Below are 24,463 nucleotides of genomic sequence, written 5' to 3' on the forward strand. Positions count from 1 at the left end.
GATTGAGGTTTAACATTCATTTTTCAAAATTATGAAACGTGTTGAATAAGTACTACTCATTTGTCAGTAAAAGGTTTGCTCTTTAATAGCTCTATGGCCTTGTGGAATTCTCATCAGCTTGGAGACTCAGCTGCCTCGTCTGTAAATTGAAAATCTTAAGGTAGATGTCCTCTAACCTTCCTCCCTTCTCCAAATTTAAATGGTTAATTATTTTGTGACTTTATCTTCTCCTCCAAATATCCTTTATCTAAGTCTTACACAAATTTCACTTTAAAAGGAGGGTGAAGGGCACGTGCTAGCTCACACCTGTAAGCCCAGCACTTAAGAGAGGCCAAGGCAGGCGGATGGTTTGAGTCCAGGAGTTTGAGACCAGTCTGCACAACATGGCAAAACCCTGTCTCTACAAAAAAATACAAAGAAATTAGTCAGGCATGGTGATGCATATCTGTAACCCCAGCTACTTCGGAGGCTGAGCTGGGAGGATCACCCGAGCCTAGGTGGTTGAGGCTGCAGTGAGCTGAGTCATGATAGTGCCACTGCCCTCCAGCCTGGGTGACAGAGTGAGACTCTGTCTCCAAAAAAAAAAAAAAAAAAAGGTGGTGGGGGGGTGCTAGAAGACAGGAGAATTTGCCAAGACAGATTCAAGTGTTAACTGCTTGCTCTGTCCTGGAGTTTATAGTTTTAAGAATAGGCTTATGAATTTCAATTTACAATGGAAATAAAATTAACTATGTATTAATTTTAATTTGGGGGCAGTATTTAGAACATATCTTAAATTATAAGGAGATTCCTCTCTTTCACAAATGCATACTAAGCTATTCCAAATCCAATGCCAGCAGCTATTCACTCTCAAAAACAAAGAATCTAAAGCAAAAAAACTAAACAAGAAAATAACTTACAGTGAAAAGAAAGCTTTTGATTACCCATGCTAATGTTCCCATTCATTAAGGTAGTAAACTGAAAATTGATTATAGGTATGTATTTATTTGCTCCCTCCACCAGAGATGCTGGATTTTTTCCAATTATTATTATTTTTACAGAGCATTTTATTTTATTTAAGAACACTTAATATGAGATCTGCCCTCTCAACAAAATTTTAAGTACACAATACAGTATTGTTAACTACAGGCACAGTGTTGTACAGCAAACTTCTAGAACTTATTCATCTTGTATAACTGAAAATATACACTCATTGAACAGCAACTTCTCATTTCCCTCTCTTCCAAGCCCCTGGCAACCATCATTCTATTCTGTTTCTATGAGTTTGATTATTTTTGATGCCTCACAGAAGTGGAATCATGCAGTATTTGTCCTTCTGAGACTGGCTTATTTCACTTAGCAGAAAGCCTCCAGGCTCCTTCACATTGTCGCATGAAGCAGATGTCCTTTTTTTAATGCTGAATAGTGGTCCACTGTATGTGTATACCACATTTTCTTTATCCATTCATCCATCAATGAATGTTTAGGTTGTTTCCGTATCTTGGTTATTGTGAATAATGCTCAATGAATGTGAGAATGTTAACATCTCTTCAAGATCCTGATTTCTATTATTTTATTTTATTTTTTTATTATACTTTAAGTTCTAGGGTACATGTGCACAATGTGCAGGTTAGTTACATATGTATACATGTGCCATGTTGGTGTGCTGCACCCATTAACTCGTCATTTACATTAGGTATATCTCTTAATGCTATCCCTCCCCCCACCCCACAACAGGCCCCGGGGTGCAATGTTCCCCTTCCTGTGTCCAAGTGTTCTCATTGTTCAGTTCCCACCTATGAGTGAGAACATGCGGTGTTTGGTTTTTCTGTCCTTGCGATAGTTTGCTGAAAATGATGGTTTCCAGCTTCATCCATGTCCCTACAAAGGACATGAACTCATCATTTTTTATGGCTGCATAGTATTCCATGCTGTATATGTGCCACATTTTCTTAATCCAGTCTATCATTGTTGGACATATGGCTTGGTTCCAAGTCTTTGCTATTGTGAGTAGTGCCACAATAAACATACGTGTGCATGTGTTTGGATATATACTCGGAAGTGAGATTGCTGGGTCCCATGTGCAATAGCATCAAAAAGAATAAAATGCTTAGGAATAAACTTAACCAAAGAGATAAAATATTTCTACACTGAGAACTACATAAGATTAATAAAAGAAATTGAAGAAAACACAAATAAAGGGGAAGAAAGCCCATGTTCATGGATTGAAAGACCTACTACTGGTAAAATATCCATACTATCCAAAGCAATCTGCAGACACAATGCAATCCCTACTAAAATCCTAATGGTATTTTCTACAAAAATTTTTTTAAAAATCCTAACATTCATATGGAACAACAAAGGACTCCAAATAGTCAAACACAAACTTTAGAAAGAACAAATTTGGAGGCATCATACTTCCTGATTTCTAAATTTATTACGAATTTACAGTAACTTTAACAGTACAGCAATGGCATTAAAACAGATTTATAGACCAGTGGAACAGAATATAGAGCCCAGAAATAAACCCACAGATAAACAGTTAACTGATCTTTGGCAAGGGTACCAAGAATACACATACATCAGGGAAGGATAATCTCTTCCACAAATGATGCTCAGAAAACTGAATATCCACATGCAACATAATCAAATTGGATTTTGTTATGGTTTGGATCTGTATCCCCAAATCTCATGTCAAACTGTATCCTAAATGTTAGAGGTGGTGCCTGGTGGGAGGTGACTCAATCATGGGGGCACATTTCCCTCTTGGTGCTGTTTTCATGATAGTGAATGAGTGAGTTCTGGTGAAATCTGCTCATTTAAAAGTGTGTGGTACCTCCCTCCCCAACTCTCACTCCATATCTTGGCCATGTAAGATGTGCCTGTTTTCATTCTGACTTCTGCCATGATTGTAAGTTTCCTAAGGCCTTCCCAGAAGCAGAAGCCACTATGCTTCCTGTACAGCCTGCAGAACTGTGAGCCAATTAAACCTCTTTTCTTTATAAATTACCGAGTCTCAGGTATTTCTTTATAGAAATTCAAGAATGGACTAACACAGAAAATTAGTACCAAGAAAAGGGGCATTGCTATGATACCTGAAAATGTGGAAGCAGCTTTGAAACTGGATAACAGGCAGAGGTTGGAACAGTTTGGAGGGCTCAGAAGAAAACAGGAAGATGAGGGAAAAGTTTGGAACTTCCTAGAGACTTGAATTGTTGTGACCAAAATGCTGATAGTGATATGGACAATGAAGTCCAAGCTGAGGAGGTCTCAGGTGAATACGGGAAAGTTACCGAGAATTGGAGTAAAGCTATGCTTTAGCAAACAGCCTGGCTGCAATGTGTCCTTGCTCTATGGATCTGTGGAACTTTGAACTTCAAAGTGATGATTTAGGGTATCTGATGGAAGAAATTTCTAAGCAGTGAAGTATTCAAGACATGGCCTGGCTGCTCACATGTGTAAGCAAAGAAATGACCTGTAATTTGAACTTTTTTATAAAAGAAAAGCAGAGTTTCCAAAGTTTAGAAAATTTGCATCCTGGCCATGTGGCAGAAAAGAAAAGCCCATTTTCAGGAGAGCAATTCAAGCTAAAAGAAAGACAAGTGCTGATAGCCAAGACAATGGGGAAAAGGCCTCGATAGTATTTCAGAGAACTTCATGGCAGCCCTTCTCATCACAGGCCCAAAGGCCTAGTAAGACTGAAAGGTTTTGTGGATCAGGCCCAGCTGCCCTGCACAGCCATGAGAACTGCTCCCTGCATCCCAGCAGCTCCAGCTCTAGCCATGGCTCAAAGGGGCCCAGGTATAGCTCAGGCCACTGCTCTGGAGGATGTAAGCCATAAGCCTTGGTAGCTTCCATGTAGTGTTAAGCCTGTGGGTACACAGAGTGTAAGAGTGAATGAGGCTCAGGAGCCTCCGCCTAGATTTCAGAGGATATATAGAAAAGCCCGGATGTCCAGGCAGAAGTCTGCTGCAGGGATAGAGCCCTTATGGAGAGCCTCCATTAGGGCAGTGTAGAGGGGAAATGTAAGATTGGAGCCCCTACACAGTGTCCCCACTGGAGCACTGCCTAGTGGAGCAGTGAGAAGAGGGCCACTGTCCTCCAGACCCCAGAATGGTAGATCCACTGGCAGCTTGCACCCTGCACCTGGAAAAGCCATACACATTCAACACCAGCCCTTGAGAGCAGCCACAGGGGCTGAATCCTGCAAAGCCACAGGAGCAGAGCTGCCCAAGGCCTTGTGAGCCTACCCCTTGCATCACTGTGTCCTGAATGTGAGACTTAGAGTCAAAGGAGATTATTCTGGAGCTTTAAGATTTAATGACTGCCCTGCTGGGTTTCAGACTTGCATGGGGCCTGTAGCCCCTTTCTTTTGGCCAATTTCTCCCTTTTGGAATGGAAGTATTTACTCAATGCCTGTACCTCCATTGTATCTTGAAAATAACTAACTTGTTTGTTATTTTCCAGGCTCATGAGCAGAAGGGACTTGCCTTGTCTCAGATGAGACTTTGGATTTTTGAGGTCATGCTGGAAAAAAGTCAAGACTTTGAGGAACTGTTGGGAAGGCATGATTGGGTTTTGCAAAGTGAGAAGGACATGAGATTTGGGAGGGGCCAGGGGTGGAATGATACAGTTTGGATCTGTGTCTCCATCCAAATCTCATGTTGAAATGTAATCCACAATGTTGGAGGCTGGATCTGGTGGGAGGTGATTGGATCATGGGGGTGGATTTCCCCCTTGGTGCCGTTCTCGTAACAGTGACTGAGTTCTTGTGAGGTCTGGTCATTTAACAGCCTGTGGCACTCCTCTGTCCCCACTGCTCTTTCTTCTGCTCCGACCATGTAAGACATGCCTGCTTTCCCTTTGACTTCTGCCACAATTGTAAGTTTCCTGCGGCCTCCCCAGAAGCAGAAGCCACTATGCTTCCTGTACAGCCTCCAGAACTGTGAGCCACAACTATGTTAGATGAGGTTGTATTAGTCTGTTCTTGCACTGCTGTGAAGAAATACCTTAGACGGGGTAATTTATAACAAGCTGCTTCTTCTTATAGTACAGGTCTTCTTGTAAGACCTTATCTTACACCATACAGAAAACCAACTCAAAATGGATTAATGATTTTTTTTTTGGGGGGAGATATAGTCTCACTGTCACCCAGTCTAGAGTGCAGTGGCGTGATCTCGGCTCACTGCAAGCTCCACCTCCCAGATTCAAGCAATTCTCGTGCCTCAGCCTCCTGAGTAGCTAGGATCACAGGCAGCCGCCACTGTGTCCGGCTATTTTATTTTATTTTATTTTTTTGTATTTTTAGTAGAGATAGAGTTTCACCATATTGGCTAGGCTGGTCTCAAACTCCTAAACTCAAGTGATCCAACCACCTTGGCCTGCCAAAGTGCTGGGATTACAGGCATGAGCCACTGTGCCTGGCTGGATTAATGATTTAAATGTAAGACCTGAATCTATAAAACTCCTAGGAGAAAACATAGGGGAAAGCTTCCTGACACTGGTCTAGGCAATGATTTCATGAATATGACACGGAAGCACAGGCAATGAAAGCAAAAATACACAAGTGGGATGACATCAAGCTGAAAAGCTCAGTACAGCAAAGGAAAAAAAAATATAAAGTGAAAGGCAACCTACGGAATGGGAGAAAATATTAGCAAACCACATATCTAGTAAGGAGTTAATATCTAAAATATATAATGAACTCCTACAACTCAACAGCAAACAAACAAGCCAAACAACAACAACAACAACAACAACAACAACAACAGAACTTGATTTAAAATGGGCAAAGACATTTTTAAATGAATAGACTTTTTTTTTTTTCGAGACAAGGTCTCACCCAGGCTGAAGTGTAGTGGTGCAATCTCAGCTTATTGCAACCTCCGCCTCCCAGATTCAAGCGTTCTCGTGCCCCAGCCTCCCGAGTAGCTGGGATCACAGGTTTGCACCACCATGCCCAGCTAATTTTTGTATTTTTAGTAGAGATGGGGTTTTGCTATGTTGCCCAGGCTAGTCTTGAACTCCTGGCCTCAAGTGATACACCCACCTCGGCCTCCCAAAGTGTTGGGATTACAGGCATGAGCCACCGCACCCAGCCTTGAATAGACTTTGTTGTTGTTGTTGTTGTTTGAGACGAAGTTTCGCACTTGTCACCCAGGCAGGAGTGCAATGGTGCATCTGCTCACTGCAACCTCCGCCTCCTGGGTTCAAGTGATTCTCCTGCCTCAGCCTCCCAAGTAGCTGGGATTACAAGCGTGCCCCACCACGCCTGGCTAATTTTTGTATTTTAGTAGAGATGTTGTTTCACCACGTTGGCCAGGCTGGTCTTGAACTCCTGACCTCAAGTGATCCACCCGCCTTTGCCTCCCAAAGTTCCGGGATTACAGGCGTGAGCCACCACGCCCGGCAGAATAGACATTTTTTAAAAAGCATACAAATGGCCATCGGGTATATGAAAAGGTGCTCAACATCACTAATCTTAAGAGAAATGCAAATCAAAATCTTAACATGTCACCTCACACCTTTTAGGATGCCTATTAGAAAAACAAAAACAAAAGATAAATAGTGGTGGGATATGGAGAAATTGGAACCCTTTTACACAATTGGTGAGAATGTAAAATGCAGCTGTTACAGAAAACAGCATGGAGGTTCTTCCAGAAATAAAAAATTGCTACCATATGATCCAGCAATTCCACTTCTATATATATTTTTTCCCAATCATTGGTGTTGGCATACCTGAAATACTGATATGGGCGTATCATGTTGATTATACACATTTCAAATGGGAATACTACTTTTTTTTTTTTTTTTTTGAGACACTCTGCCGCCCAGGCTGGAGTGCAGTGGTGCAGTCTCAGCTCATTGCAACCTCTGCCTCCTAGGTTCATGCGATTCTCCTGCCTCAGTCTCCTGAGCTGGGATTACAGGCGCAGGCCAGTATACCTGGCTAATTTTTGTATTTTTAGTAAAGACAGGGTGTCACCATGTTGGCCAGGCTGATCTTGAACTCCTGACCTCAGGTGATCCACCCGCCTCAGCCTCCCAAAGTGGTGGGATTACAGTTTGAGCCACCACACCTGGCCCTACTTTGGTTTTTTTAAAATTACACTATTCTATCGCTGAGGACTAAACAAGGCGCTGTAAATTGCAAGTGTTTTCTTAAAACCTTTTAGCATAAAAAATATTAATGTTTCAAACTTAGAAAAACCTGAGTTATTTTTAATACTACTATAACCTAGTTGTATTTTCCGGGTAATGCCATCCCTGCTAATCAACCACCTAAAACCAAAAGCTTTTTAAAGCTGTAAATATTGCTGACATATTATTTGCAGCCAATTAGCACAATATTCTAATGAGATTATCATCATTGATTCCCAACAGGGGTAGGTAATGGTGTTCATTCATACACTAATATAATTTTGTCTTTCTTACAGCATGCACATTCTATAAAACTGGAATGATAGTACCTGTAGTACTTACCCTTATGTTTTTCAGCCAACGCTTGGCATATGGAAAATAATCGCAAAATGTTATTAACATGATTGTTTTCTTTGCCATGTTAAGTTACACCACAAAAACATAAAATAGATCAACATTCCTTAACTATAAGAAACACAACTAAAAGAATTTACTGAGTGTGCTGTCTTTTCTTTGCATGTGGCAACAATAGTAGCTACTCTGCATGTATTGGTACTTATTTCACAGCAACACAGGAACACTTTGACTTTGACATTGTTAAGCACTGAAGTTCAAAACTAGCAACCATACACACTTACTATTTAACATCTTGTGTTTTTTCCTTTATTCATAGGTTTAAAAGAAGTGCTTAGCTACCTGATGGTGACCTCTTACACTTTTCATGATCGACCTGGTTGTCTTGAAAAAAGAAATAATAGTTTCTATTTTCGCTTCCATTTCCCTCTCAGAAAATGAATAAAGAAAAATGGCCAGAAAAAAATGGGAAAAATATAAAATATTTTTTTAAATACATGTTTTTCTTCTTGTTTGGGGTTACTCAACTCAAAAACAGTATTTTATGTCCCCAAATACTGTTTAAATTTCTACCATAATTTATCCCCTTGAATCATCAATAGTCTTTTTCTCAAGCCTACCATTCTCTGAAGCCACTACAATCTTGTCCTGTGACACTTAGCTTTAGCTTTTGAAATGGAACAGAGAAGAGACAAAAGCTTATGAATTGAAGCCACAGCAGGGGCAAGGATTTAGCCTCCTTTTCTGTACATTCTCAAAGCTGTTGGCTGTAGGGACTAAAATACACATTCTGGGGCTTTTCTACTGGATTCCAGTCATGTACCATGTACTAGGAGTAAATAAGGACAACAGGAAATCAGGAAACAGGCTGGAATTCACTCTTAGAATTTCTTCCAAATGACAACCACCAAAATCTAGTTAAAGACTCATTTTATGATTTCTTAACTTTTTTTAAATTGGGGATTCCAATGAAGTGGCTTTGAAGTATTTATCTGAAATCTCTTTAATACCACTTCCCAAGCACCGGACTCTGCCTATGCTGAGATAATACTTTGACTTGATCAACCAAGAACGAAATGGGGGGAAAAATACCCATTGCTAACCCAAGTTTTAGTGTAGCTTATAAAATTACTTGGAAGAAATAATCAGAGAGGCAAGAGAACAAGTAGTAGAGTGTTTCAAAAGGCGAAAGGAAAGAGAATGAACTCAGTTCAATGGCAAATGCAAGATCAACGTTGGAGCAGTTTCAGGACACTGGTGATGTTGAGCTACATAGCACGTTGCTACCTTGGGAAAGGCAGAAAGAGTACGTCTTTGTGGCTCTTATACAGCAGCTGCTTATTTAGTTTTTCCGAGACAGGATTTTTAATTAGCTGTCTATGGTTATTCTCTTTTTTGTTTTTCCTCAATTTATAGAGGGCTCTAGATCACCTACTAGTCTAACCCCTTGGTCATTTTCCTAGGACTGGCTTTCAGCTGCTTCGAAATGATGTGACTGCCAGGAAAGTACTACTGCATCGCCTCGGGCCTTTCTAGACCCTTTTCTAGGAAGAGATGATGCACTAATTGTTTCCTAACCCAAATGCTATAAATGCACAAGACCATAGAATACTGGACTGGTTGGCCAGGTGTAGTGGTTCACGCCTGTAATCTTAGCACTTTGGAAGCTGAGGTGGGCGGATCACGAGGTCAGGAGTTCGAGACCAGCCTGGCCAAGATGGTGAAACCCCGTCTCTACTAAAAATACAAAAAATTAACTGGGTGTGGTGGCGGGCACCTGTAATGCCAGCTACTCGGGAGGCTGAGGCAGGAGAATTGCTTGAACCCGGGAAGTGAAGATTGCAGTGAGCCAAGATTGCACCATTGCACTCCAGCCCAGGTGACAGTGCGAGACTCCATCTCAAAAAAAAAAAAAAAAAATACTGGACTGGTTTAATTATCCTTCAAAGTAAATGGTGAGTCAAAGAAGAATGAATGTATTTGAGGAACAGATGTCCAAAGCAGGATTCATGTCCTCTAATGTAAGGCTAAGAAGAAAACATCAGAAAATTTTTATTATTGTGTGGGTTCTATTTATCTAATGAAAAAAACACATTATGGATCATTAAAAATAATCTTAGAAAATTAAAAAAGAAATCAAAATGAAATCCTAGAGAGTGACTTTTTCAAATAATTTTGACAGATACACTGCGGCATCCACCAGCCTTCAAGTCTGCTTTATTATCTTCTCACAATCCTTTCAAACTCTGGATACCACAAAACAAAGTAATCCGAATTGTGCTATGTGCTTTAAAAATAACTGTAAATAATTAAAAGTAATTGTAAAATATAGGAAAATGTTAATCTACAATACTAATATTCGACTAAATTTTTGGTGAATCTGTTATATTTAAGGATACAGAAAGGCTTCGTTAATCATAATTGAAATCAGGACATAGTCAAAGAATCAAATGAGCAACTTCAACTTGGCTTCAATAACAAAACATTTAGAAACTTCTACAACTACCAACTACTCCAATGAGATCTTTTCAAAGCAGGAAATTGGGATACAATATCTTGTTTATTGCCTGTTAGCTTTAGAAACAGCCCTCAAAGATAGGTCAATGTTGGTTTAGTTTTGTTTAAAAGAACAATTTTGCAATTATAATCTTTAAAATTTGTCATATTTATGGAGAAATCTTAGATGTATGTACATAATTGCAATTCCTTTATAAACTTGCATCTGAAATCAGTGAGAATTTTGCTAAGACAAGGATGGTACAGAATCACTGTGATAATCTAACTAGAGTTTCAAAGTAAAGAAGCAATAGATTTCAGATTTTGTCTTTTTCCAGCACTAGCTTTATAGCTAGCACCAACCATACCTCTCACATAAGAAACCAAGCTGCAAACCTACACCAGTTAAAAATTAAGTTCTGCTACCATTTGATACAGCCATCCCACTACTGGGTATATATCACCCCAAAATCAAATCATTATATAAAAAGATACCTGCACTCGTATGTTTATCACAGCACTATTCACTAGAGCAAAGTTATGGAATCCACCTAAGTGTCCATCAACTGATGACTGGATGAAGAAAATGTGGTGATATATACAATGGACTACTACTCAGACATAAAAAATGAAATAATGTCTTCTACTGCAACATAGATGGAACTAGAGGTCATTATTTTAAGTGAAAAAATTCAGAAGTGAGTAGTCAAATACTACATGTTCTCAATGATAAGTGGAGCTAAATATGTGTGCACGTGGACATAACAGTGTGGAATAACAATCACTGGAGACTTGGAAGGGTGAGACAGTGGGAGGCGGGTAAGGCATGAGAAATTATTTAATGGGTACAATGTACACTATTCAGGTGATGGTTACACTAAAAGCTCAGGCTTCACTACTACACAATATATCCATGTAACAAAACTGCACTTGTACCTTTCAAATTTATACAAATAAAAAAATTCAGTTCTCATTTATCTTGGAAGAGTGAATTATCATTTCCAAAAGTTTTAAATGGATCTGAACCTTTATTTAACTGTCATTTTTCAGTCTCATTAAAAAATACATGAAGGTGAGGACTCAGGTTTTACCATGAAATCCTTTTCCCCTACTAGATTGCAGCTCCTTAAACTGGGTTATAATGTATGACTACATTTCAATTAATTAGATGTTGAGCTAAATGCTAAAAATGCTTGAAGAGATTAGGTAGATGACTTCAACACATTCCAATATACAAGCTCACTTGCACACTATGAAAGTTTAAGGTACTAAAAAATGACAAGGTGATTCAGCACAGAAAAACAATGCAACACTACACTTGGGCCAGCAGATGTCTCTCTACAACCCATGGCACCAACCAAGAGATAACCAGGTATCTAACAGCACAGAAGGATTGATCTTATTCGAAACGGTAAACAAAAGCATTCTTAGGTATTGATCAGGAGGAGAAGAATGTTCAAGTTCAGACAGAAAGTTGAGAAGGGAACAGTAGGTGAGAAAATAGAAACAGAAGCTTATTACAAAAGGAAGGAGAGAGCTCGGCCCATAAAGAATAAAGTTAAGGCAGGTTTGAGGCATTTTTAGGGGTAAAAAAATGCTGTAGAAGTTACTGAAGAATACAGGGAGAAGGGCAAGAAACCATGCGTCCCTACCATAGCACTGAAATACTGCAAGCTTGTCAAAGGACAACCGACTGACTAGCAGGTTAAGAAATCCACTTTGCTGGTTATGATGAACAATAAAAAGAGAGAAAAAGGGAAAAGAAAAAGTGATAGAATTAAAAAACTCTATCCCAGCTTGCATAAAGTAAGCTTCAGGAAACCACATACCCACATGTACAAATATGTGTGCTGGGCCCTAAGGTAACAGGTATTTCCTCCTGGGGGTTCTAATAAAAAGGTCTGAAAGCCATGGAGATATTCAGTGCACCCCCAGTGCCCCACCTCTCCCTCAAGCTAATAATGCCAGCTGCAAGACCTCCAAAACAGAAACATAACTGTCAAAGGTAATATCCCAAAATCCCCGAAGGAAGACATGGTAAAACATACATCATCATATTTAAAATAAACTATGTAAATTATGAAGCAGAAGTCAGGGCCGAGGAAGATGCAACATAAACTCCATGAGAGAAAAGTCTAACTACCAGATGCAACTCTCAGCCCCATCTCTGGCATCTTTTCCCACCCTGAATAAAGGGATGCTGAGGGGCTGAAGGGGAGCTGGCAGGAGAGACAGCAAGGCTGGGGACGAGGCGGATAGCAGGACATACAGCATCTATCTGGGCAGGAATTGGTGAAGATCCAGAGAGATGGGAGTGGAGTGAGGAGAAAGATAACCCATTCAATGTCAAATCCCATCACCAAGCAGAGGACTGGACACGTAATATGCCCCTTACTAACGTTTGCTGAAGGTGTCAGTAGGTCTCAGCAATGCCAACAATTTTATTACAATTACAGGAAGTTAGTGCCTAAGCAGGCATGATAGTTTGGAGCTTCTTATTCCAAGGTTATCACCTGCCATCATCAGAAAATGGGAGTGCTGCTGCTTTTAACTCTATCCTCACCATCTTTAGTAACTGTCAGCCATTTCAGTAGCCACCTGGAAGCTATGCTATGCTCCCCTGGAACTACGTCTTCAAGAATTTCAAAGAAGTTTGTTTGGTTTCAAACTGGAAACCAATCTGACACTTAGAAGGTCAAAGACAAAAATGAATGGGTGCTCAAGGACTTAGGGTGCTCAAAGATTAAGACGTTTCAAAGAGGTTTTAAGTTACGTTTCTCAGAGCCAGGACAACAGACTATACAGAGGCCACGTCAGAACTTACCAATGATGTTCGCACTTGCCTTAGGAGGAGAGTTTGCTTTTGTTGGGTATTTTTGGTTTGTATAATTGGTTTATTTGGGGCTTACGTATATTTAAAAGAACTTTATAACAGCAAACACCTACATACTATTTACTATGTGCTATGTACTATTCTAGGCCTTTACAAATATTAACTTATTTAATAAATGTATATAGAACTACTAATCTCAGTTACCTGTTCAGTGGTTTATTCTGCTTCACTAAAAGTATCTCCGTTTCTTCCATTTTCCTCCTGCAAAATAGGAGGAGAATATCGTTAGTGAGTAGGTACAAATGCACACAAAATGTTTTACATTATTATTTGCTATTTTCCAAACTCAGAGTGCCAAAAGGGCTTCACTGAACTTTAGCCAATTATTTCACCTGCCTAATTTTACTGAGTTCCTAAATAGAATCTTAAGAAGACATAATTACTACATACACAGATAATAAGAGATTTGAAAAACAAATAACTTGTGGCTTCAAAAGAAATTAAGGTGACACAATAAAAAGTTAGATGCACAGGGAAACAGAGTAAGATTCTCTTGGACTTTGAATCCTTCTACATTTGATACGACTTTTCAAACCACACTCCCTCTGCAGTTCTTTTTCAGGTGGGCAGTATGTTTCCTCACTAGGTGAAATAATTGCTGTTCTAAAGATAGAAACAATTGGTGGATTTGATTTTAAAGATTTACTGAAAATTTTTAAAAAATGATAATGGAAAGCATTTGTTAAAAAAAAGAGGTTATTTCCCAGAAAAGGTAATTGTTCATCATCTCTGGCAGGTGACATTTACCTTTGGGAACTCATGAGTGTCTAGGTTCTGTCCCTGAAATCTCTGGCTCCAAAAGTCTCTCTCACTAAGGTGCCAGAGATGATCATGTTGATTAATACTGATTCATGCTAACAAAGCTCACAAGAGACTGATAAAGCCAAAATGGCAAAGTATTGACTTATAGTGAAAAATGTAATTGTCAGATATCCTGGACACTTGCTCCGTCCAGTTTGGAAGCCAGTAAATCCAAGGCATAGGCACCTCACAGGCAGGCAAAGATTAGGCCAAATTCACGGCAGATTGCTCAGTGAGCATATCGGAGCAGTCACCACCTAGATGCCAATGGCCTCCAAAACGATCTCTCTAGCCAAGCATTATCCTACCTTCTCCACCACCATCCTAGTCCAAGCTGCCATTGTTCTTTCTCCTGGACAAATACAAAACACTTCTTGCTGTTTTCCCAGCCTCCACACTTTCTCCCTTCCAATTCATTATGCACAATGTGTCCAGAGTAAACCCTTTGTTTGTTTGTTTGTTTTGGAGACAGGGTCTCACTTTGTCAGTCAGGCTGGAGTACAGTACTACAATCATAGCTCACTATAGCCTCAAACTCCAGGGCTCAAGCGATCTTCCCACCTCAGCCTCCCAAGTTGCTGAGATAATGTACAGGTGTGCACTACCATGCCCACTCATTTTTTATTTTTTGTAGAGACAAGGTCTTGCTATGTTGCCCAGGCTGGCCTGGAACTCCTGGCCTCAAGTGATCCTCCTGCCTCAGCCTCCCGAGATGCTAGGCTACAGGTATGAGCCACCATGCCTGGCACAAAAGAAACCCTTTAAAATAGAAAACAGACTGTGGCTCAGCCCTACCTATACCCGCCCCACCTTTAGTGCTCTGCATTGGTCTATGATAAACACAGGGGATGACTCTTGGCCCTGCTGGGGCCCTGCCCCCTCCATGCACCACTCTCCCTTGTCATCCTCTCACTTCAGCCACGCTGGTCTCCTTTCACTCCTATGAATAAACAAGATCCCTCAACACCTCAGAGATTTTGCACATCTTATTTTCTCTCCTTGAAAATTAATGCACATATTCTGCCCTCCCTCCCCCGATATACATGCCTACCCAGGAACCTGTACATCCTCACCTACATAGGGACACATTCCCCTATGCTAAGCTCCCAGGACACCTTGACCTTCTCCACCAGAGCACTTAAACAGTTTGTAACTACACGTAACTATGCATTATGCAGTTATTTAATTTAGATCTCTCTCTCTCTCACTAGACTATAAGAAGCTCCATGAGGGTGGACACTGAGCTCATTTTATTAGCGTGTTCCCCGGTAGTGACTACTCAACAGATATGTTCTTGAATGAATGGTGGCTTCGGGCTTTCAGAATCTGTTGCATCCATTGCCAAAAACAGGGATAATTCTGCCAGACAGACACGGGGCTCTGCTGAAGGGGCTCCATCCCCCACATTGTGCACCCCCACCCCTGGGTCACCAGTAATTAGATGGGCATTGTCTACATACACTTATGTAAATTTTTGTTTCCTACACTTCCATGGCCAAAATAAATCTTCAGATATTAAAAAGAAATAGCACAAAGTTCAAGACACATTTGGGTAGCAACGCAGCAGAGAAGACTCACGGCAGTGGGTTACTAAGAAACACTAGAAACAAAAAGGAAAACAAATTTCAGCCAAAGGAAGTCCTTGATGAAACAACCCTGGCAAGTGGATACACATACACACACAGACCAAAGCAGTGGCTCTCAGATGAGGGTGCATGAGATCCTGGGTTTGCTGCGGGATGCCACCACAACCAGGGGGTCAACAGCAAGGCAGTGTGAAGATCCTAGAAGGAGGCCCCACTCCCTGCCCCTCCTCTGATCGCCAGGGCCTGCCGTGCATGCTTGGCACACAGGAGACCCGGTGTGCACTGAGTGTGGTGCTCTCCCATTTACCTAACAAACCAACAATCAATGGGCATTTCCTAACTCACTGCGTAGAGTGTTTTAAATGGCTCACAGCTGTGGTTAATTTTTACAAGATGTTCTAACACTTCAGTCTTCTTATGTGATAGGGATGAGAACAAAACCGGTGGGAAGAAACCCCATAATACATTTGGCTCTAAATTCATATCTAGTTATGGGGTTAGAGAGGGTCAATTTCATTCATCCTTTCAAAATAGTGTGCACTGCAAATAGTGTGCACCTCGTTCTAGGTGGTGTGGATAGGCACTGAACAAGACAAAAGGCCTTTTCAAGGAGATAACATTCTGGAAGGAGACTGACCATAAATACTAAAGTAAAAGATAAAACCCATCAGATGACAATACATGGTATGAAGAAAAGTAAAGCAAGAGAGGGTGACAGAGAATGTGTGTGTGTTGGGGGTGGGAGGTGGGAGTCAACATTGAAATAGGGTGTTCAAGGAAAGCCTCCCTGAGAAATTGCCATATGAGCAAAGATCTGAAGAATGTGGAGAACCATGCAGACATCTCCGGAAGGACAGTTCCAGACAGAGGGACCAGCAAGTGCAAAGGGCCTGAGGCTGAAGCATGGCCTGTCTTGGGGCACATGAGGGAACAGTAATAGGAGGTGAGATCATAGAGGTGAGTGAGGGGTTTCATAGTCCAGCACTAAAGACTGTTGGCTTTGATTCTGAGAGCCATGGAATGCAACTGAGGTGATGCATGCCGCACCCTGCCCTGTGGAATGCTGAAGAGGGGCAGGGACATGATCTGGCTGTGTTGAGAATAAACTGAAAAGAAGGCAAGGAGGCAGCTAGGCCAGTGACCGGGCTACTGGGACAATGCAGGTACGAGAGGACAAGGGCTTGGACTAGGTGCAGCAGCACAGGTACTTCCACAGAGTTGTTGGGGTCTTCACAGAGCTTGAAGCGAAGGCCCTGGAGCTAACTCTCACTTCCCTAAGGGCTGATCTTAGTGATCTTAATGCTCTTCTCACTAACCATGTTTTTTGTTTTAATTAGTACTTTTACAAAAGAAAATTTAGTGGGTTTTAACCTGCTACAGAAGTAATAGATGATCAGGCTGGGTGTGTTGGCTCACGCCTGTAATCCCAGGACTTTGGGAGGCTGAGGCGGGTGGATCACCTGAGGTCAGGAGCTCGAGACCAGCCTGGCCAACATGGTGAAACCCTGTTTCAACTAAAAATGCAAAAATTAGCCGGACGTGGTGGTGTGCCTCTGTAATCCCAGCTGCTCAGGAGGCTGAGGTGGAAGAATTGCTTGAACCCCGGAGGCAGAGGCTGCAATGAGCTGAGATTGTGCCACTGCACTCCAGCCTGGGCAACAGAGCGAGACTCCATCAAAAAAAAAAAAAAAAAAAAAAAATAGATGATCATTATAGAGTGCAAAAGGTCAAGCAAACCAAACCTGTGCATCACATTATAAAAGAACTTAACATACAAGTGTTTCTTATACTGTCACCACCATATATTAGCATTTTAAATCCGTGAAAATAAAAGACTTCTTCCCTAGGTGAGGAGAAAGATCATTCTATACACATGACCATGGTAGTTAATGACTCTATGTAACAAAAGGTTTTCCATTGAAGATCTATTGATATACAGCAGGACAAACACCAAACAGAAGTACTGTATTCTTAAAACCAAGCTTAGGTCAGTATGGTCTAACCCTGAAATCTTTCAGCTGTGCCAGTTTGAGATTAATGAAGAAATGTTTGGCCCATCACTCACAAAACCACACTTTTCTGCACAAAGACTTTCTCTTAGAGACACCCATGATGATAACATAATGTAAAGTAAAATTTAGATATGGTGAAATTCTTAAAAAATGAAATAAAGTACCCTTTTTAGTCTCTGCATTGTTGATTAACACGGGGGTTAAAAAAAAAGGTAGGGGAAGCTCAGTGCGCAGAACTGTTGTCATGGAAACCATCCTACTCCAGGGCAGGGGAGCAGCTCTTCATGCTGTCATCAAGCCACCAAGAATCTCATCTGTTTGGGAGACAGAGCCACGTCCTCCCCTAATCAGAACATTGCTGTTTAGTCAAACATGATGACTTGGCCTGGTCTGTAGCTGCAAACAAAATTAAACTGTGATTCTCAACATTTGACTCTTCTGGCTGATATGGCATATTTGTTTAGCTTCTCTCGAACAGAGCTACCAACAGATCAGTCACTCATGGTGACTCGGGGAGCATCAGTTGTCCACCAGAGCAGAGCTTTTCAAACTCCGAGATGCACATGAGCTGCTTGCAAGTCCTGTTAAAAAGCAGATTCTTATATAGATAACTCTTATGACAACATCGCCTGTGCTATAATGTACATCTCTCAACTCTTCTGAGCTATTTTAATTCATCCTAATTCATTTTTATTAACATTTTTCAGACATGTGTTTCTTTCTTAGTTTGCTTCTGAAGTATAAAGATAATAGTGATGAGGTTTTAAAAAAAAAAAATACTGCTTCTCTATGACAAGGACGCCCAGCAAAGGATCACCTGAGCCTGGGAGATGGAGGCTGCAGTGAGCCCTGATTGTGCCACTGCACTCCAGCCTGGGCAACAGAGTGAGACTCTGTCTCAAAAACAAAACAAAACAAAACAAAACAAAACAAAACAAAACAAAAGGATCCCCAGCATATCTGTGAGCGTGACCTACTTTTTTTGTTTCTCTGAAATCCTAAGATGACCAAAAGAAGAAGTGTAGTGAAAAAAGGCTGAATGTAAGTCAGTAAGCAAAAGAGAGGCTGGTCTAACAACCATGATTGTTCTTATACCTTGGGAATCCTGTAAAAGCACAGAGGGAGGGACCTGGCAGAAAGGAAGCCAACAGACAAGAGGCTATAGTGGCAACAACTGCTTGGAGATCTATAAGATAAATCAGGGAGATCACAATCAATTGTTTATAGACTCTGAAAGGACCAACAAGAATTACCATTGAGTTATGTAAAGAAAAAAAAACTATTAGCCAACATCTATTAAGGAGGAAAAACAAAGGTATACACAGCTTGGGGCAAGATTTGAAGAAGCATAACCCCACCTACATACAAAGGCATGTGGCAGAGAGCAGGCCTACTCATTCTGTGTGGCTCCTGTGGCTTGAACCCAAAGGTAAAATAGAAAAGGAGAGGCTAGGCACAGTGGCTGACACCTGTAATCTCAGCACTTTGGAAAGCCGAGGCGGGCGGATGACCTGAGGTCAGGAGTTTGAGACCAGCCTGGCCAACATGGCGAAACCCCGTCTCGACTAAAAATACAAACATTAGCTGGGCGTGGTGGCAGGCGCCTGTAGTCCAAGCTACTCGGGAGGCTGAGGCAGGAGAATCACTTGAACGTGGGGGGCAGAGGTTGCAGTGAGCTGAGATTGTGCCACCGCACTCCAGCCTGGTAACAGAGAGAGACTCCATCTCAAATAATAATAATAAAAGGAAACAGAGATGGACTTGGGCACAATATAAGAAAATACCTTCCTTTGTTGTTGTTGTTGTTTTTCTTTTTGAGATGGAGTCTTGCCCTGTCGCCTGGACTGGAGTGCAGTGTCGCGATCTCAGCTCACTGCAACCTCCACCTCCTGGGTTCAAGTGATTTTCCTGCCTCAGCCTCCCAAGTAGCTGGTATTACAGGGGCATGCCACCAAGCCTGGCTAATTTTTGTATTTTTAGTGGAGATGGGTTTCACCACGTTGACCAGGCTGGTTTCGAACTGCTGACCTGAGGTGATCCGCCCGCCCTGGCCTCCCCAAGTGCTGGGATTACAGGCGTGAGCTACTGTGCCCCACGTCATCTGACAGGTTTTAAAGTGGCAGTAAGAAGTGGCCCGTGTCGCGTGATACACACATACCTTCTAACAAAATACACTTCTCGGGACACAGAACTTTTCTTTTTGCAAAGTAAGGAGCTCCCATCATTCCTGAGATAGTCTCCACCTGCCACCCTGTTCCTCTCCAGTACTGTACACTGTAAACATGCCAAGCCGGATGCCACTCCCCAGACAGCTTCACGACTGCAAGCATCACATGGTCTGTGCCTACAACGCTTTTCATTTCTGGGCCATCCCTGCAAACTTGAAAACCCAACCTCCTCTGTGAATCTTGTGCTCTCTCTCCTCCAAGCAGAGTGGCTAGCCTGCTTCTCGCCCGCTCAGCGTACTTCTCCCCTGCACCATCTCCCTCTGCTGTAAATATCTAGACTGTCAGGTCTCTGAGGGCAGGACCACATGCTATTTCCCTGTGTATCCTCAGTGCTGACCATAGTGACCTGGATACAGCATGCACTGGATGATGGGAGGAAGGAAGAAGAGGGGAGGTGGGTAAAGAGAGAGATGATGATGCCTAAATTATCATCTGCTATGCATACTGTAGAAGGAACTCTGATACTGAGAGGAATGTTGATTTCAATGAACTTATTCTACACAGACATGAATTACTGTGGCCTTCATTAAGGTTATTTTATGTATGTTTAACAATCCATTTATTGTTATTTAGCTGTTTAGAAACAGTCCCAATATTTTGCTTTTACTCATATATATGTCAGTATTTAGCAGTGTAAATAAAGTCTAAGTTTTTATACTAAAAACCATCTTTCAAAGTTACTGAGACGCCTGCAGAAAATGTGTCCACAGCATTTCACTGCAGTTTGGAATAACTCTGTATCATTAAAACAAGCACAGGGGCCTCTACTGGCAAAACTACCCAGCAACACTTTATAAGCCTTTATGTTAGAACGCTGAATATCAGAAAGTGAAGTGAGTCTCCAAACTTTCCCTAATTCAGACAAGACTTTACCTTAATTACTAATTAGTACCAATAAGGGAAGATTGATTGATTGATTGATTTTAGACGGAGTTTCACTCTTGTTGCCCAGACTGGAGTGTAGTGGTGTAATCTCGGCTCACTGCAACCTCCAACTCCTGGGTTCAAGTGATTCTCCACCACGCCCGGCTAATTTTGTGTTTTTAGTAGAGATGGGGTTTCTCCATGTTGCTCAGGCTGGTCTTGAACTCCCAACCTCAGGTGATCCACCCGCCTTGGCCTCCCAAAGTGCTGGGATTACAGGCATGAGCCACCGAGATGGCTGGGAAGTTTTATTTTACCATTTGTTCATTTTCTCACACTCTAACACCCAAGGCAACAACCTACTTCAAGACATGACATGTTTGGGCTCTGGGGTCACTTCCATCAAGGGCCATTTGACTAGGGCTTCTCAGGGGCGTGACATGTAGGCGAATACATCTGGGAACTACAGAGCCATTGCTAACAACGCTCATTACTATTCAGAATGATCACCATCAGGCACATCAGCACCTTTCCCTCCGACAATGGAACCAACACCCGAGCCACAGAGCTGGGCTCTGCTGCTGCATAGGGCACCGACTCAGTACCGGCACATCCCGGCTGTCCTTGCTGTCTCCCCATTCTTCCCCAAAGTGGGGCCTATCAGCACACTGCCAAACTCACCTCCCCAGCAGCCTGGTTCCTTTAGTCCCACTTTCTATCCTGGACTACTGCCCTGAGGGACAACAGAATGGTTTCTGGACTCTTTGGACACCAAGGCCAACCCGGGCTGCCGTAGGGGCAAGGCCTAAAGAAGGAGCCTGCAGCCTCCACACCGTGGGTGTCAGGGTCATGTGCGTGTGAACTGCCAGCCCCGTTTCGTTGTGTTACTACAGAGAGAAACACAGTGGACCTTCTCTAGCATGAGAGCACCATAGTCTAGGAGGAGTGAAGGAAGGTCTTTATTTCATGAGACTTAAAAAAAAAATAGCTTCAAGATATAGTTTTAGAAACATAAGCAGACATCTTGTGGTCTGACAACAATTCATAAATCAGATCTTAAAACTGATTTTAGCAGATCTTTTCTATAAAATGCTGTATTTATAAAATGGAAAAAAGGCAGGATGGTGCAGCAAATTGGCCAAGCACAGATTGCATATTGACTTCATCTGACACTTTTTTTTTGTTTGTTTGTTTTTGAGATGTAGTCTCGTTCTGTCACCCAGGCTGGAGTTGCAGTGGCGCGATCTCGGCTCACTGCAACCTCCGCCTCCCAGGTTCAAATGATTCTCCTGCCTCAGCCTCCCAAGTAGCTAGGACTACAGGCACACATCACCATGCTCGGCTAATTTTTTTTTCTTTTTTTTGTATTTTTAGCAGAGAGGAGGTTTTACCATGTTGGCCAGGCTGGTCTCAAACTCCTGGGCTCAGGCAATCCTCCTGCCTCGGCCTCCCATAGTGCTGGGATTACAGGCATGAGCCACCGTGCGTGGCCCTAGCCCATTTTCTTTTCTTTTCTTTTCTTTTCTTTTTCTTTTTTTTTTTTTTTTTTGAGGCGGAGTCTCGTTCTGTTGCCCAGGCTGGAGTGCAGGGGTGCAATCTTGGCTCACTGCAACCTCTGCCTCCCAGGTTCAAGTGATTCTCCCACCTCCGTCTCCCGAGTAGCTGGGATTACAGGTATGCACCACCATGCTCTGCTAATTTTTTGTGTATGTGTATTTTTAGGAGAGACAGGTTTTCGCCATATTGGCCAGGCTGGTTTCCAACTCCTGACCTCAAGTGATCTACCCACCTCGGCTTCCCAAAGTGCTGGGATTACAGGCGTGAGCCACCACACCCAGCCTCATCTGACAAGTTTTAAAGTGGCAGTAAGAAGTGGCCTGTGTTCCATGATACAGAATATGAATCTACTTCCAATTGAAAAATATTCATGTATCACCCAACCAGGATGGCTGCAGCAGGAACAAAAGCAAACATGCTGAGAAATAAGATGTCTGGCGGCTACTCTTGATTTGAGGCTGTTTGTACATAGGGTCTAATTTTCAAAATAAAATCTTCTTTGCTTGTTTTGCCAGTTCTTTCTTATATTTGAACTAATTAGAGGGGAAATAAAATGGCAAAATTCAAACTAAATTCTTGCTGCCTCCAAGATTCCTCAGCCATGAGGGAGAAGGATGCTGTTTCTTAGGAAGAATCATCCGGATTCTGAGTATAGGGCAAAGGCCGCCAAATCCTAGGCCCCATTTTGAAGCCTGGTTAACTTATTAGAAAGAATTCATACCTGTAATCCCAGCACTTTGGGAGGCCAAGGCAGGAGGATCACTTGAGCCTAGGAGTTTGAGACCGGCCTGCAACATAGAAAGACCCCTGCCTCTACAAAAAATAAAAAATTAGCCAGGTGTGGTGACACATGCCTTTAGTCCTAACTACCTGGGAGGGTGAGGGAGGAGGATGGCTTGAGCCCAGGAGGTGAGAGCTGCAGTGAACCAAGATCATACCCCTGTACTCCAGCCTGGGCGACAGAGCGAGACCTTGTCTTAAAAAAAAAAAAAAAAAAAAAAAAAAAGGATTTACCCAACACTCACTATCCCCACAATAAGCCTGGAGTTCATAACCTGGGAAGAAGATAGAGGAAAAAGAAAACTCTTGAGAGCTCACTCAGTGCCCACAGTTTCACGTTCACCTTCAGAGCGGCCCCTGGGGAAACAGTAACGGATGGTAATGAGACAGGGCTCAGAGTGCATGTTAAACTTTCTAAGCTCAGCTCTGCCCAGGGGAGCTTTCCGACCTGCAGAGCCTTCTTTCCACCCTATCCCACGCCACCTTCCACAGGAGAGGCCCCACACTCACCCGTTCCACAGACAAAAGAAACGCACACCTGCCCCAAGGAGGGGACTTAACTAGGACAACAGGATTCAATGTTTACCAGGCTAACAAGAAAAATGCCGAACAAGCCAGGAACCAATAACTAAGTGTCAAACAGACCTGCAAGGCCCAATGTGGCTTGCTTCACAGGAAGAGGCACACAAGCACCTCTTAGAACCCCTGCATTGAAACACTCCCACAAATTCCCCCAGGATGCAGACGGGAGATGCCCTGCAGTCACTCCTGGCCTCCAGAACTGGGAGGGGCTCAAGCTCTGGCCCAGTGCGAAGGCAAGAGGCCTCTATTCCTGGCTACGAGAATCAATAGAAACTCATGGACTTCTAGAGAGCCTTGCCAAAGATCTCGAAACTCAGGAACCACGTAGGGAGCCCTACTGTTCACCACTGTATGTTGCCCTCTGGGCTTGGCAGAAATGTACCTAAGTGCAATACCAAGGGGCAAATAAGAAGCCAAACTGTGGAAAATGAACAGGGGAGCAGCGGCAGTTCTTGGAGTTGGGGAAAAGAGAGAAAACGTGTTTTTTAACATGAAAATGTTTGTCTAGAATTGAGAATGCAAAGAAATGCCCAGAAAGCACTGGCGAGCTGCAGGAGAAGGGTGACAACACAGTCTGTAGCGAGAACAGAGAGTTCGCAGAGCCTGGGCGTGTGCCTGCTTCCATTCCCGCCCACCCACAGTTTCTGGGGCAAACAAATTCTTGGCTGAGCAGGTATGTGTGGGAGGCCTGATTTATTTTCCAACCATTAGAGCTTTGCCCAGAACTACTTAATCAGGATTTTTCAAGGTCATACATTCAAATATGATGTTATAGCCTTACGAAACAAATAACTTTGGGGTCTATGGGGCAGGAGGGTAGGGAGTGACAAGAAGGGGAAGGAGAAATTAACCACTCTCATTTGATCTAGCTTCCCAACCATTCTTGTATCTACTATATATTCTCAGAAAATTGACACACTGGACAAATGCATAGCTCAAAGAAATAATAGCTAATTATAATGCTTACTCTAAAGCAGGCACAATTCTAAATGCTCTGTATATATTGACTTATTTGACCCTCACAAGAATCCTTTAAGGGGGATACTAATATTATTGTCCTGCTTATTTTACAGATGCATGAAGAGGTTAAGTGACTCACCCAAGGAACAACAGCCGGGTGGTGCACCCAGATAGTTTGTGCATTCCCACTCTGCTATACTCCCTCTCTGTGCTCCGCCGTCCTGTCCCTCA

The 24,463-nt window shown here is 42.3% G+C and overlaps 1 long non-coding RNA gene across 10 annotated transcripts in view; it reads right to left on the reverse strand.

Moving 5' to 3' along the window:
* Positions 1-24,463, reverse strand: part of LINC-PINT (long intergenic non-protein coding RNA, p53 induced transcript) — a 232,364-nt gene that overhangs the window by 93,485 nt on the left and 114,416 nt on the right. For 8 of the 10 annotated variants that reach the window (NR_109855.1, NR_109854.1, NR_109853.1 and 5 more), the window contains one exon: positions 13,007-13,063. This is a non-coding gene — a long non-coding RNA (long intergenic non-protein coding RNA, p53 induced transcript). Of the gene's footprint in view, positions 1-7,461; positions 7,483-13,006; positions 13,064-24,463 lie in introns of all 10 variants that reach the window. The other 2 variants (NR_170176.1, NR_170175.1) reach the window with 1 other exon arrangement.

Source organism: Homo sapiens, chromosome 7 (assembly GCF_000001405.40).
Source record: "Homo sapiens chromosome 7, GRCh38.p14 Primary Assembly".
Lineage (NCBI taxonomy): Eukaryota > Metazoa > Chordata > Mammalia > Primates > Hominidae > Homo > Homo sapiens.